This window comes from Homo sapiens, chromosome 16, assembly GCF_000001405.40.
Source record: "Homo sapiens chromosome 16, GRCh38.p14 Primary Assembly".
Taxonomy (NCBI): domain Eukaryota; kingdom Metazoa; phylum Chordata; class Mammalia; order Primates; family Hominidae; genus Homo; species Homo sapiens.
This window is the reverse complement of record NC_000016.10, coordinates 78,323,522-78,339,473: the sequence shown is the minus strand read 5'-3', so window position 1 is coordinate 78,339,473 and position 15,952 is coordinate 78,323,522. Positions and strand designations below refer to the sequence as shown.

The 15,952-nt window shown below is 40.2% G+C and overlaps 1 protein-coding gene across 2 annotated transcripts in view, besides 2 other annotated features; it reads right to left on the bottom strand.

Moving 5' to 3' along the window:
• WWOX (WW domain containing oxidoreductase) overlaps positions 1-15,952 on the bottom strand; it is a 1,113,014-nt gene that overhangs the window by 873,194 nt on the left and 223,868 nt on the right. The gene's annotated exons all lie outside the window — the stretch shown is intronic.
• Positions 11,774-11,943: an enhancer, noted in NCBI's record as "experimental_46196 CRE fragment used in MPRA reporter constructs". NCBI's record gives its function as "activates a minimal promoter by MPRAs in K562 erythroleukemia cells, with activity observed for both the introgressed and non-introgressed 16:78361513 variant alleles {active_cell/tissue: K562}" and the evidence as "EXISTENCE:reporter gene assay evidence [ECO:0000049][PMID:34662402]".
• Positions 12,099-12,268: an enhancer, noted in NCBI's record as "experimental_46191 CRE fragment used in MPRA reporter constructs". NCBI's record gives its function as "activates a minimal promoter by MPRAs in K562 erythroleukemia cells, with activity observed for both the introgressed and non-introgressed 16:78361188 variant alleles {active_cell/tissue: K562}" and the evidence as "EXISTENCE:reporter gene assay evidence [ECO:0000049][PMID:34662402]".

Below are 15,952 nucleotides of genomic sequence, written 5' to 3'. Positions count from 1 at the left end.
TTTAAAAAGAACATCACCAAGTATTCCTGTGCACCAAGCAAAAAGGACAACAACCCCAAACTGCAGAAGGTACAAAGGCTCCAGGGGAGTTGTTTTTTTTTTTTTTTCTAATAAAAGGAACTGAGATTTAGACAATCACATGAAAGTTTGAGGTTGAATGATAGGTACATCACAAACTCAGCAAATTTCTAAAAAAAGATGAGTATTAACTCCAGGGAAAAAATAAGGTGCAGGAAAGAAAAATAATCTTGATATGCTACATGGCATAGTGGTGCATACACTTACTTATTTATAACAATTTAAACAAAAAAAACTGTCTTCTTAAACATCATTATACATGATATCACTATATGGATATGATGCAGAAATAAAAAAGATGCACATCATCATGGGGCACCAAAGTAGAAGGAAGCTAAATTTCCTTCTTATTGAAAAACCTACAGATAATATCTAAGACTAGAAAATGAAGAAGTAACAGTTTACATGCAATTACTTAAAGCTACATATATAAAGACCAACTGAATTCACTAAATGAGTTAGAAATGAAGAAGAAGTTGATGCTGAGGGCTGCTTTAACTTTTTACGTAAAAATTTAATAGACATACCTGACTAACTTTAAACTCTGTACAATTTTTACAAAAAGAAAAAGAAATGAAAAGAATAGAATGAATGAATGGCATAGCAAAACATAAAAATGGAAGAAGAAAACAGAAAAAGAGAAGAAATAAAAAGGCGGTAACTTGTAAACATGTAGACAATCACATATTAGGCTTAAATTACGACAGAGCACAACCTGGATTTCTCACTATTTCTATTTTTCAACTGAATTTATAGCAGATTATGGTATTTTCCTATCTCTAACTCCGTCAGAAAATTCAGGAGAAAATAGGCATTGAAAAAATAATTCTCTGCCTTGAACAATTCTCTGGTTACTTGTGGAAACTACAGAATTTCTCTCTGTAAGAATATTTTATGTGCCCTTAACTCCATAAAGATAACAATAATAAAACAATTTAACATAAAGACATTTTGTCCCCCAAAAGGGCAAAAAAAATAAACAGACAATTTTGCAAGGATAATATTGCACACTTTACAACTGGGGAAAACAACAATTTTGTCTCTACAGACTTCACATACTATTCAAACTCTCAGCAGCTGGGAATCCATGAGGGTGTTGGTGTCTACATTTCCACCTGCTCACTAGGCAGTATCAGGCAAGTGATAAAATTTTGGTTGCTGAATACGATAGTAAATTTGCATGCTGCTTTATTTAATTCACAAAATTAATTTTTTTAAAAGTTTGTTTCCATGTGATAAATTCATATTAATAGTACTGGGTACACCATGTGAAAGCAAAAGACACTGCCTAAATTAGTTACCATCTCTCCTTTCCAGAAGGCTTTTGATCTGTCATGTTTGATAAAAATAATTTTATATATGTTTTAAAAGAACAAAAGAAACTGCTATCCTCATCAGCTTGGTTGCCAAGTGACCTGATAAAGCATCTTGTGAGGTCTCTTACTGATGAAGACCCCAGCAAGAGACACGAGGTTAGCAGGACAGGCACTGCCAGGAACAGAGAGGGCGCTTCTACATCAGCTCTACCACTGAGGTCACACGGCTCTCCACTTCTTCATGGTGGAAACAAAAGGGAAATAGGATAGCCAAGAAACTCTAGCTTCAAGATTCAATTATAATTGCTGGAGGCATCTTGGAGTACAGGGATATTTCATTCTGAGCACTGAGATCCTCTAGCCTAAAGCGCCTAAATTCTCAGAAGGACTTTGCTGGGGAAATGAGGACATGGCCAGATAGTACTTTTAATAACACTTTCAGGGGACTTTTAGAGGCGTGAAACTACGCTGTATGAAATTGGAATGGTTTCACTCCATAATGAAATGACAGACACCTGTCATTATGCATTGAACAAACCTATAGAATGTACAACACAAGCAGCAGCCCCTCATGTAAACTATAGACTAGTTAATAATGTATCGATATTGGTTTATTAATTGTAGCAAATGTGCCACACTAATGCAAGATGTTAATACCCTCATACCAGGGGCAGGACCAGGGATCAGTGGGTACACAGGACAGCATGTACTATATGCTCAATTGCGATCGGTGGGTACACAAGACCTTATGTACTATATACTCAATTACTTTGTAAATCTACAACTGTACTTATAAAGGAATAAAAAAACAAACCACCTTCAAAAGATTCTGTCTGCAGGATTCCTACCCACTCTTGGTCAACACATTGAGGGATTTGCTAATAACACAGTCTTACACAGGTTATAAACTGGCTACCTACCACAAACATGTTTTCTTTGAACTGCAGAGTGTTTAAAAATTTATGAGTTACCAGCTACTTAAAATTAAGATTATCCTAGGGTCAGGTGCACTAGCTGACACCTGTAATCCCAACCCTTTAGGAGGCCAAGGCGGGTGGATCACGTGAGGTCAGGAGTTTGAGACCAGCCTGGCCAACATGCTGAAACCCCGTCTGTACTAAAAAATACAAAAAATTAGCCGGGCATGGTGGCGGGCGCCTGTAATCCCAGCTACTCAGGAGGCTGAGGCAGGAGAATGGCTTAAACTGGGAGGCGGAGGAGATTGCACCACTGCACTCCATCCTGGGAAATGAGAGCGAAACTTCGTCTCGAAAACAAACAAAAACCTAGGAATATCTTAATACTATAATTGTAAAAACTCAGGAAATACCATTTTTATAAGCCAAAACTTTTAGCCTCTAATTTTTAAAAAAATTAGAAAAGATGGCAGCTCTGGGTCTATGTTCCCCCATGGCAACAGGCAGCTGGAACTAAGAAGTCCTTACCTCCCAAAGTACAGATGGGGACTGTGTTGTTTGACAGGTCCTCAACACTCCCTATTGTCTTCCACAAGACTCCTTTGCTCCCTCTGTTATCTGCCTGTCAACTGTAGGCTTTTTTTTTTTTTTTTTTTTGAGACATAGTCTCTCTCTGAAGTTCAGGCTAGAGTGCAGTGGTGAGATCTTGGCTCACTGCAACGTTCACCTCCTGGATTCAAGAGATTCTCCTGCCTCAGCCTCCCAAATAGCTGGGACTATAGGCCACATCACCACACCTGGCTAATTTGTTGTGGTTTTTTTTTTTTTTTTTGGTGTTATTTTTGTATTTTTAGTAGGGATGGGGTTTCACCATGTTGGTCAGGCTGGTTTTGAATTCTTGACTTCAGGTGATCTGCCTGCCTCAGCCTCCCAAAGTTGTGGATCACAGGCATGAGCCACCATGCCTGGCCTGTAGGCTTTTCATTTCATTGGCCAAGACAAGTAGCATCAACATCACCTGGGTACCTTTTATACATTTAGTCTTTTGGTTTTTTTTGTTTTTCGTTTTTTGAGACAGACTCTGGCTCTGTCACCCAGGTTGGAGTGCAGTGGCCTGATCTCGGCTCACTGCAACATCTGCCTCCCAGGTTCAAGCGATTCTCCTGCCCCAGCCTTCCAAATAGCTGGGACTACAGGTGTGCACCACTACACCCGGCAAATTTTTATATTTTTAGTAGAGATGGAGTTTCACCATGTTGGCAAGGCTGGTCTCAAACTCCTGGCCTCAAGCGATCCACCCGCCTCGGCCTCACAAAGTGGTGGGATTACAAATGTGAGTCATCATGCTCAGCTAGTACCTTTTAGAAACGCAAGTTTTGGGGCCCACCTCAGTTCTGCAGAGCCAGAACCACACGAACATGAGTCTGTCTCAGAATCACATGGAAGACTTGTTAAAATTCGGATTGGGTGAATTCCATGTCTTTTCTACTGTGAAAACTGCTGCAGTCAACATACATGTGCATGTACCTTTATAATACAATCATTTCTATTCCTTTGGTTACATACCCAGTAATGGGATTGCTGGGTCAAATGGTATTTCACAATAGCAAGGACACGGAATCACTCCAAATGCTCATAAATGATAGGATGAAGAAAATATGGTACATATATACCATGGAATATTATATAATCATAAAAAGGAAAGAGATCATGTCCTCTGCAGGGACATGGATGGAGCTGGAAGCCGTTATCCTAGGCAAACTTATGCAGAAACTGAAAACCAAACACTGCATGCTCTCGTTTATAAGTGGGAGCTGCATGATGAGAACACATGGACACACGGTGGAGGCGGATAACACACACTGGGGCTTGCAGGTGGTGGGAAGAGCATCAGCAACAACAGCTAATGGACGCTGGGCTTCATATCCAGGTGATAAGTTGATCTCTGCAGCAAACCACCGTGGCAGATGATTACCTATGTAACAAACTTGCACATCTTACACATGTACCCTGGAACTTAAAGTTTTAGAAAAAATAAACCTCAGACTGCAGGCCCCACCCCACAAGCTTCTGATTCATTATGTGTGGAATAAAGCCCAAGAATTTCTATGTCTAACAAGCTACCAGGTGATGCTGACACTGCAGGTCCAGGGGCTACTTGGGGAACCTCTGGTCTCTGTCTTCGTGTATCTCATAATAAACGCCCATCTCACATTTTGCTGCCTTTTTTTTTTTTTTAAAAAAAGATGGTATCTCCTCAATGAGTTTAATTTTCTTCCTCTTGTTCAGGTGTGATTTGGTGATTTTGTGTGTGTGTGTGTGTGTGTGTATGTGTGTGTGTGTGTGTGTGTGTGCGTGTGTGTGTGTGTGGAGGGGAGACTTTCCCATTTTCCTGGTGGGTGGTTTTAATTCTTTGGAAATTTCTCCCATATGGGTTAGCATTTTGTTTAGTTAGCTATTTAAAAACAATGTGGCTTTTTCTCTGTGGAAACTGGGTCATTTAAATTAATTCTTGGATTTATAATACATATAATTAGTTCCCAACAATACACAACTCTATGTTCTGTTTGGGAATATCTTGATTACACAAATGTGAAAATAATTGAACAGAATGATGGCTGGAAAAACAGCATTAAAAAATACCCCATTTCTGATATTTTTGCCATTAGGCTATGAATTGTGTAACACCTCACCGAAAGTGCTTGCTGTATCTTTAATGGTTCACTCATAGCTCAGAGTAAAGTCTGAACTATTTGTTGTTCGCTGTTGTTATATTCTGTTCCAAGGTTCATAATTTGAAAATCGACTTTGGGGACTTTTTGCTTGGTCTATTAAAATGATTCATGTTGCATTCAACATAAATTGTGCATTCACGGAGGAGGGTGAGAGCCCGTATTCACAGCATAATAACTAAAGTGAATTTTGTACGAGCCGCAGTTTGTGGCAGCGATGTGGTATCATTTGTCTTAATTTTTCTTTGGCATTACATTAGGCGAATGCATTTACATTTCCAGGTATGGCTAACCACTTTAAAAACTTTGTTTTTATAGTGTGAGTAAAGGGGGAATCAAATCTGCATCTTTATGCGATGTAACATCAAATAATGCCGTTTTACTGTCTGGAGGACGAGGGGATTTACATTCCATTTACCTGACTTCACAAAAGGAACTCAGGCTGATATGCAAAGTACATGAAATATTTACCATCAGTGGATCACGCAAGGTTTCTAAAAGAGAAGAAGAGGGGGAGGAGATGATACCTTTTCTGCTCTCACTGTGTTGTTCTGTGTTTTTTCTTTTTAACAGTACCTTAAATGAAACTTCTTAAATGGATTAACTATTTAAAATTCAAGTATGTCTTCAAGAAAACAAAACGCCAAATAAGCCAAAACTTTGGGTCACGTTTGCTGAACAGAGGAACCATTTGAAATTTTATTTCATGTGTATCAAGTCTATGTACATACATATATACAAACATATATGCCTCCTGCTTATGAAGTATGTATTCTGGAGACTTAATGAAGTACTCCTATATCTCAATTAACATCAATTAAGATGAATATCTGTTTATGTATATATGCATGTTTTAGCAGAATTCTATAAATATGATATACTGATTATTTCACATTGACGGACAAAGCAAAAAGAACTAATCTTAAATTCTGTCAAAATATTTTTTACCAGTTAAACTAAGTATTACATCAGAACAGATTACACTCACTAAATACCATGATTATAATGGTTGATAAGGCAACTTTTTCTATATAAACATTAAAATAAAATTTTAAAAAATGTAACACACACCATAGAAAATTGACCAGGTTTGGTGGCTCATGTCTGTAATCCCAGCACTTTGGCAGGCCAAGGCAGGCGGATCACCTGAGCTCAGGGGTTGAGACAAGCCTGGCCAACACGGTGAAACGCCGTCTCTACCAAAAATGAAAAATTACCTGGGTGTGGGAGTATGCTCCTGTAGTCCCAGCTACCCAGGAGGCTGAGGCAGGAGAATCGCCTGAACCTGGGAGGCGAAGGTTGCAGTGTGCCGAGATCACACCACTGCACTCCAGGCCTGGGTGACAGAGCTAGACTCTGTCTCAAAAAAAAAAAAAAAAAAAAAAAAGTATAATGCTCTTCCATGCTACTCAGAATACCCAAGCGAAGAATCTTGGTTAAAAAGATTGTTTTATATTATAAGTACAAGGGTTCTGAGCAACAGAACATGGTTTATGATTATTATAGTTAAGATTATAAGCAACGGAAACATCTTAGTTTGCATTGCAACTTTACACTGAACTGTGCGACATGAAGCAATTTTAAATTTCTGAGCCTCAGCCTCTTCATTTGCAAAATGGGGCTAATATTTCCTGTGGAACCCATGTTAGTAAAGTTCTGAATGCACACTTAACAGAGCAAAAGGCACACTCAGTGATCCTCAGTCATCATGACATTATTATAACTACAGTAAAGGCACTAATTTGGGCAACTCTCAGATTATCATATCCAATCACAATGACAGAGAGGAAAATCATCAGATCATTAACCACCCAAAAAATCAGTTTACCTGCCCGCTTAATTGAACTATATAAATACTTGGGGTGGACAAATGGATGTTTGTTCTTGAGCAAATGGAATAAGCCTTTCACCTTATAGCATGTACCCAAAAGATCTCGGGTTTTCTTTAACATCCTTCTTTTACCTTGTTAGTGCAGGAATTCATGCAGCCCATACAAATCACAGGCTACTCCGCTGGAGGAGTGTCCCGTGCCCTCAGATTGCACAGAGGAAATACCCATTCTTGGCTAGAAGGCACTCATAATCCACTGGGGTGTTTCTTAAGCTTTAACTAGTCAAATAATTCTCTGGGAAGGATTTTAGAAATGCGGAAGCAGAGATTCTAAAATAGTAGATCCATCTGGGATCTGGGATTCTGTCTCTTTAGGCAAGTTTCCAGTCTTTCTGGGAAAAAGAGATGGCAAAAAAGGCTTGGGGTGGGGAAAGACATAACCCAGGATGTAGGTGGGCACAAAACAAGGTACAAACACAGGACACCCAAACCTAAGTTGTCTTTCATGGCCCAGGGAAGGCTTGAGCTGAGCCTCAACAGAGAAACAGTAATCAGACTCCCTGAGAGCAGCTAAATGGCGTTCCAAACTTGACCTTCCTCGGCTCTGATGTACTGCTTGAGGACACAGCTTTGGAGTCAGCTAGCCTGGTTCAAATTCCAGCTCCAACTTCTCCCTGTTGGCACATTGCATAACCTCTCTAAATCTTAGTTTCTGTGTCTGTAAAGGGGGGAATAATTTGAACAGACATCTGACACGTTGTTGGAAGAATTAAATAAAGCAATGAATGCCAATGCATATGCCACAAAGCAGGCACACAACTGGCACTTCGTAAAATACTATTAATATGGACAAACCAATGTCTACACAGCTAGAGGCATTTAAGAATGTGTGTATCAGGATAACAAAACTCTTTCCCTGTCTCCTGTGTCATTTACAGTCATCACCCATGAACCCAGTGAAATAAGCAAGGATAGGGAGGATTACTCTGATTTTACACAAGGGTGGTTACAGGGCCACGTCTGTGTGCTGCCTGGTAGACTCTCCTACTTACACCTTTGTACCTATACAAGGAAGTCAAAGCAAAATGAATGGACAAAAACTAGCTATATTACGAAGACGGTCTCCAAAGAATCTCACCTACATATAAACTGGAAAATAAGACACTGTCATGAAGTAATCTGTATTAGAATGTAATTGGTTTATTACCTGGTTGCCTGTTTCATTTGGACCTGAAGGGGTTATAAGTTGCAAAAATTACACAGATAAAAATAAATATGCCAATATTACCTTCATCCTTAACTATCATTTTGAAAATCGACGTGACTTCTAAATATTTTATTTAGTAACAAATGCAAGAAACGCAAGCATGAAGAAGCTAACACCCTCAGTGATAATTTCTGCAAATGAATATTTTAGTTGCAACAAAAAGCCGTTCCAAATTACAGACACAAACCTCAATCGAACATATTCAGGGACCGTAGGTGTTAAAAAAACAGACTTTGAAAAAAATCTATATTTTAATCTTTTGGGGGGCAGAAACAAATTATCTTATTTACTACATGAATGGTTTACTCAATTTAACGCCAATCTTTAGCATCAACTTCCACCTGTCTGAATAAATAGACTGCTCCAGAAAAGACTAGATTATTTGTATTATGAGGTTGTGTTTAAAAATAAAGTGGAGAGACTAACTGTATTGAAAATAAGAACATGCATATCATCTCAGCTTACAAAAATCTAATTTTATTTTCTTCTGTTTCCAGGAGGAAGTTTGAAAGTACAAATGAAGTCGTAAATTAAATTCCCCTTTGAGGGTGACTGAAAGAAGTGAGATGAATATTTAAACTTCACTGACATGTTCAGAAAAATACACCCACATATAGTTGCATAGAAATGTTACTCCCTGCCGGGCACGGTGGTTCACGCCTATAATCCCAGCACTATGGGAGGCCAAGGCGGGCGGATCACGAGGTCAAAAGATCGAGAGCATCCCGGCCAACACGGTGAAACCTCGTCTCCACTAAAAATACAAAAATTAGCTGGCGGTGGTGGCATGCGCCTGTAGTCTCACCTACTCGGGAGGCTGAGGCAGGAGAATTGCTTGAACCCAGGAGGCAGAGATTGTAGTGAGCTGAGATCACGCCAGTGCACTATAGCCTGGCAACAGAGCAAGACTTTCTCAGGGGAAAAAAAAAAAAAATTATCACTGGTGAAATTTTCTCTTTAAACACATTAATTTAGGACATTTACATAGAGCTTTGGCTTGTTGGAAATATTAATTTTCTTTAATTTGTGGTAAAATATACGTAACAAAATTTATCATTTTAACCACTTTAAGTGAACAATTCAGTGGCATTAAGGATATTTATAGTTATTGGTTTTTATTAAGTTAAATCAGCAATTATAAAAATGAACACTTGTTAGTATGCTATAACTTCAATTTTTAAGGAATGTTTTCAAACGTTTAGGCATTTAGGTATTTTAAACATTTACGCGTTAAGGACAACCATCTATAGCAATGGTTATTAGAAAAAGACAAAAAGAAAGCACCAGGCAGTGACTCATGCCTGTAATCCAGTACTTTGGGAGGACAAGGCTGGAGGATCGCTTGAGGCCAGGAATTTGAGACTTACTATGTTACTGTGGGCAACATAGCAAGAACTTGTCTCTACAAAAACTAAAAGATTAGCTGGTCATGGTGGTACACGCCTGTAGTCCCAGCTACTTGGGAGGTTGAGGTGGGAGAATCACTGGAGCCAAAGAGTTTGAGGCTGCAGTGAGCTATGATTCTACCACTGCACTTGAGCCAGGGTGACAAAGCAAGGCCCTGTCTCAAAAAAAAAAAAAAGAAAGAAAAAGAAAAAACCATCAAACATAAAACATAAAACAGACCTCCCCATGTATATGTTGGCTACATTGGCAAGAATAACAGAGCACGCTTCCCCACAACGGTTTCTTCCCTTAAGCGTGTGCAGGAAACTGCTATATTTTACATAGGTTGCACTGGGGACATTGCCAGATGCCACAAAGTTCATCCAAAGACCTTGCAACTTGGCCTCATAGGCCACAGTCACACACCTACCCAAGAACTACAAAGGTAGGTCACATTTGCCACGAAGCCTCAAGAACTATTTTTGCTGTTTATTCCAGGCTACTGGCGACAGGGTCAGCAAATACAGAAATTTCACTCTGTCTGGAACCTTCGTGGTGGAGGTTGTTCTAAGAAACAAACCACGTTTTTTGCATCCCTCATCATTTCATATTTCTATCAGAGAGCCCTTCCCCAAATGCCCACAGAGGAGAACTGGCTGGACAAAAGTAGCCAGAGGAGGAAACTACCATCTCAAGGAAATGAGAACCAAACGTTCAGTCCACCGATACCATGGGGTTGCAATTTCACTTTAACTGTTTCTTATGATAATTAAAAATATATCAGCAGGCTGGGTGCGGTAGCTCACACCTGTAATCCCAGCACTTTGGGAGGCCAAGGTTGGTGAATCATGTGAGATCAGGAATCCAAGACCAGCCTGGCGAACATGCTGAAACCTCGTCCTACGAAAAAAAAGAAAATCAGCCTGTCATGGTGATGGGAGCCTGTAGTCCCAGGTACTCGGGAGGCTGAGGCAGGAGAATCGCTTCAACCCAGGGGGCAGAGGCTGCAGTGAGCTGAGATCGCACCACTGCACTCCAGCCTGGAAGACAGAGCAAGACTGTTAGAAAAGAAAAGAAGAGAAGAGAAAAGAAAAGAAAACAAAAGAAAAGAAAAAAGAAAAACACATCGGCAAAAGGTCAACCACCCTGAGACCAAGGCCAGGAAAAACTGGAGGTGCTGAGGGTGTGGAAATGATTTTGCTTGGCTTCAAGAGCACTTTTCAGCAGAAGTCCCAGACTGCTTGTCAAAAGTCCAGTCACATCAGCATTATCAAGAGTATTTCTGTTCTCTCTTAGTAACTTTCATTGCACTAACTCCGGATTCATCTAATTTCCACATTCGATCTTATTTATCTTATTCTCCTTTGAATACAGGCCTACAATAAATACTTGTTGCAAGAATAAAGTACTAACCCTTTGCAGCATTCTTACAGGATTATCTCTATTATCATCATCATCTTACCAGCAACTTGAAATGAAAATTAAACAGCTCATCCAAAGCCACAGAAATAAAAATCTATGATTCTTCATCTAAAATCCAAGTATGTGTTGAAGGATTCTAAATTTTTTACGACTTACATCAATCATATGCTATGAAATATCCCTAGTGAGGTGTTAACATATACCCAAACATCAAATCACATGACAAGAAAAATGACGATTATAAACAAGACCACGACAATTCCAAATCAAGTTTTGCTGCCACTTGTTGTTTTTTGAAGGTTCGGGAATTTGAGTTACAGGTAAGGGACTGTGAAATTTAAGAAATCAGAACTCAGGTACAGAGGCTCACACCTATAATCCCAACACTTTGGGAGGCTGAGGTTGGGGCAATCACATGAGGCCAGGAGTTCAAGACCAGCCTGGCCAACATGGCAAAATGTCATCTCTACTAAAAATACAAATTAGCCAGGCAAGGTGGTACAAACCCATAATCCAAGCTACTAAGTAGCTGAGATGGGCGGCTGGCTTGAGCCCAGAAGTTTGAGGTTGCCATGAGCCAAGATTGTACAACTGTACTCCAGCCTGGGCAACAGAAGAAGATCATCTCAAAAAAAAAAAAAAAAAAAAAAAAAAATCAGGACTCATTCAGGCTAGCTCATTCCTAATGTCTTGCTTTCCAAAGCCAGCTCTGGGTGCTCTAAGAGCTTTGCAGAAGCACTTTGTACAAAGAACCACTGTAGACTAAATAATATAGCCATGGTCGGGGGTCTGAAGGAGAAGACTATCTATATGCTTGCTATTCAGAGGAAAGCATCTACTGAGAAAACCAAAGATCACTCTTTAAAAAAATTTTTAAATAAAAATAGAAGATTGTGGAATCTCTGTGTCATGGCAAAGAGGTTTTCCAGTGGGAGTTGGAGTGAAGGGAATCCTAATACCCCAAATGATTGGAGGAGATGGGCTGTGATTTGTATTTGCTGAGCGCTCCATGTTCTACAAGCATGATAGAGCTTCATTCTCACAGAAGCCTTCTGTGTCCTGCCCAGTGGGTCATGCTTTCTCCTTCCACACTGAGGGTACTGGGGCTTGGAGAGTCCAGTGAAGATGCCCCAGATTCATAACTGGGGAGGTACAGCACAAAATGGAGTGACAACTGGCTTTGAAAGCTGGCACGCTTCACACCCCCATCCCAACTTTTAGGGACACTGGTGCAAAGAAATCAAGCCAGCCTGTCATATGATGACAGAGTGATTTCTTTCCCGATATGACACATCCATTTATCATCTTTCATAAGACAGACCTGGCCTATAATTTGGTCCCATCGCTGCCACTTAAATGAACTCTGGGCTTGGATGGCCTTCACCAGATTCTTCAGTGTGGGGTCACTTAGGGACTTGAAAGTCACAAGGTCAGGATTTGAGGTGCATGGATGCTCCTGGGGGGCAGTGCCCAGCGCAGTGCTGAGGATCGAGGAAGCCAAGGATGACTATTAATTGATGGTATTGATGATGATGAGCCTCTGGGGAACTTCAGAAAAAGCAGCAAGAGAAATTCAGTTTGCAAAGTAAACATTTTATGTGTTTGTCATCTCCATGGTGAGAAACTTCAGTATTCAAGATTCATATAGAATACAACCGAAAAAGCCCCAGATACTGAGCTTTACTGGAGAAACACATTTCCTAAAATAAGCATGTTTTGACAATTAAAGTTATATCTGCATTTTAAGTGTATTGCCCACTTAAATGTCTAAATGAAACAATTAAGTCCATGTCAGTGGCAGGCAAGAATACAGCAATCTGTTGCTTTTAATGATAAAAACAAAAATTATAAATTAAACATATGCTGTATGCCAGAAAATATGCTTTATGTTCTTTTTCAATAATGTAACAACTCTGCCACAGATTGAGGCATTGCGGGGGGGGGGGGCGGGGGGAGGGCAGGCAGAAATAAAGCCAGAGAGGTTAAGTAATACATCCAGAGAAACACAGTAAGTAACAGTGATGCTGGCATTTTAGTATTTACATTCCTTTACTAGGCCCAGCTTCCTTTGCGCGATAACAACGTTCAACCCCTTGTTTCTCCCAGTGAATGATTACAACCTGGCATTTTCCTAAGTATGATAGGGGTGGCAGAATATAAAAAGACAGAATATGCCAAATTGGCATATCATATACAGCCTTGCAATTTAGCAATTTAGGTTTCTGCAACTGAGCATATGCACACTTAACATAAAGCATCAAATGACAGCAACCGTTGTGTTTTGCCCTTTTGTGAGCATCCCCATAATTCAGGTTCCCCCACTGTGATCTAGCTGTGTGATCCCAGTTTCCTTGCTCCTCAGCACAATGGCAACAATTTAATGGTTGAGTACAAAGTTTCTAAGAGCCCTGGACTTCTGGAGGGGAGCTCAAGAGTTTAGAGGCAGACAGAGATTCACTCCTACCTCCCCCTTCTGCTTAAGGGTACAATGCTAGATAACTCTGAGCCTGCATTTCCTCATCTGCAAAAGAGCCCTATCATGTCACAAGGGCTGTGAAAATGAAATGATGTTGTATGTGCTGAGCACCAGGCACAGGATCCACAGTGGGCATCATTTCATAGCCTTTAATTTGATTAACTCTTAAAATCATCATCATTGTTGTCATTATCCAAAGCTCCCAATGAGTGTGTTCAAGTTGCAAAAGCAAACAAACCCTTAACTCCTATGCCTTCCATTCCAGGGCAACGGACTTGCTTCCTTGCCTGCAAGGCTAATATATCAGCAGTCACTCAGGTTACAGTCCCATGAAAAACACAGGGTGACAAAAGCCCCTTGCAGCAATCTCCAAGAAGGAGAAATAAATTAATCAAGCTGCCAAACGGAGAAGGCCGGGTTGACCTCCTTCTGATCTCATTACTTCTCTATTAGCCTTTTGAAAAACATTCTCTTACAGAGATCACTAACTGAAGATTATGTGGAGGGAAATCGCACCTCTCCATCACGGTGGTAACTTTGCCTCATTTGTCATTCTAATAATTCACTTCTTTTCTTTCCTGAAGAGACAGAGACACTAATGGACTATCACCAGTTAAAAAGGCAATTTTTCCATTTAATTGCACTCATTAAATACTGCAATAGAACAATTGGAAAAGCAATAGTCTCAATATTTAATCATAGTATAGGAATAATGAAACATTGCTTCAAAATAAATCTGAGTATTTATAAAGTCATAAAAGAGCTGTTTTAACAACACCTGTGATCAGAGGCAACATATTTAAAATTAGACATGTGATTTTTCATTTCTCCTGATTAGAGCTTGTAAACATTTGCATGGTGACGGAAAAGGATTCAAAGGAACCAGTTCCTCTGAGCAGTGCCTTCTAGCTTTAAAGGCTGCCACAGCCCTGTGACGGGACCAACACTCCCAGGCTGTTACAGAGACTTGAGGCTCTCACACAAGCCAGGCTTCCAGCATGGCCAAGGAATCTGAGGAATGGGTTTTTGTGCCCATGAGCAGCTCGGGCCCTGAGTGGTTTTCTCTGGGAGCAAAGATTAATTGACACTTTCAGATTTTTTAACAGCTTTATTGAGATATAATTGACATACCATACGATTCACCCATTTAAAATTGTATAATTCAATGATTTTTAGTACATTTAGAGTTGTGCAACCAACACAGACAATTGCAAAACATTTTCATCACCTTCACCTCTACCCCTCCTATCCCGCCCACCCCCAACTCCCCCAGCCCTGAGTCATCACTCATCTATTTTCTATCTCTAAATTTCTCTGTTCTGGACATATCACAGAACGGAATCTCACCATATGTGGACTTTTGTAACTAACTTCTTTCACTTAGCCTCATGTTTACCAGGTTCACTCACATTATAGAATGCCTCAGGACTTTGTCCATTTTTATGAATATAAAATGGAATATTCCATTACACGCATTTACCACAACATATTTATCCATTTGTCCATTGATGGACATTAGGGTTTTTTCCACCTATTGGCTATTAAGAACAATGCAGCTATTAACATTCATGTACAAGTCTTGGTCCATGTTTTCATTTCTCTTTGATACGTACCTAGGAGTGGAATTGCTAGGTCATATGGGAACTCTTGACTATTGGAGGAACCGCCGACTGTTTTCCAAGTTAGCTGTACCATTTTACATCCCCACCAATGGTGTGTGAGGGTTCCAACTTCTCCACATTCCCAGCAACACCTGCTGCTGTCTGACTTTTCACTTCTACATTTCAACTGTGAGTTGAGCAGTATCTAAGACCAGGGAAACAAGAAGCCACCACCTCACTGCCAACAGAAAACCTCAGTTCCTTGCCTTGAGGAAAGCAGCATGACCTGAATGACAAAGGCCACGGTCTTGGAATCAAGCAGACAGACGTTCAAATCCCATCCTTGCCACTTCAAGCTTACTGTAGCCTTGAACAAGTCACTTAAACTACCTGTAAATTGATTTTTCTTGTCTCTAACACAGAGGAAATAATCTCATAGGGGAAAGTGAAGTTGGAGGAGGAAAATGCATCCAAAAATGCCTAGCACAGTGCCCAGCACCCAGCTGCTGCTCAGTAAAGGGGCATCTATGCTTATTATTCAGACCATACTGCACTTAACCTTGAGCAGGCCTCTGAGTCCTTAAGAGTGCATGCACTGGGTTCCTATCCAGTTTTAGGCTCAAAAAGCTCTACAATTAGTCAAGTATGCCGGACAAAGGAAAAAGAAAATATATGTTACAGGAGCCAGGAACATGCAATCTTATTTATCAAAGAACATTTAGAATAGAAACATGTTTTCCTGATTCCAAAGAGGAAGAGGAGATGGGGAATCCACCCTTCCCTGTTCTTTCAATGCCATGCGTGAAAAGTAAAGTCCACAGCCTCACAACCAAATAGTGGGCATGATTCACTTAGAGGACAGCTCAGTGGGGTTCCCGCCTCTTCCCACTGCATGGCATGTTCAAACCCAGTAACCTATTAGTTTA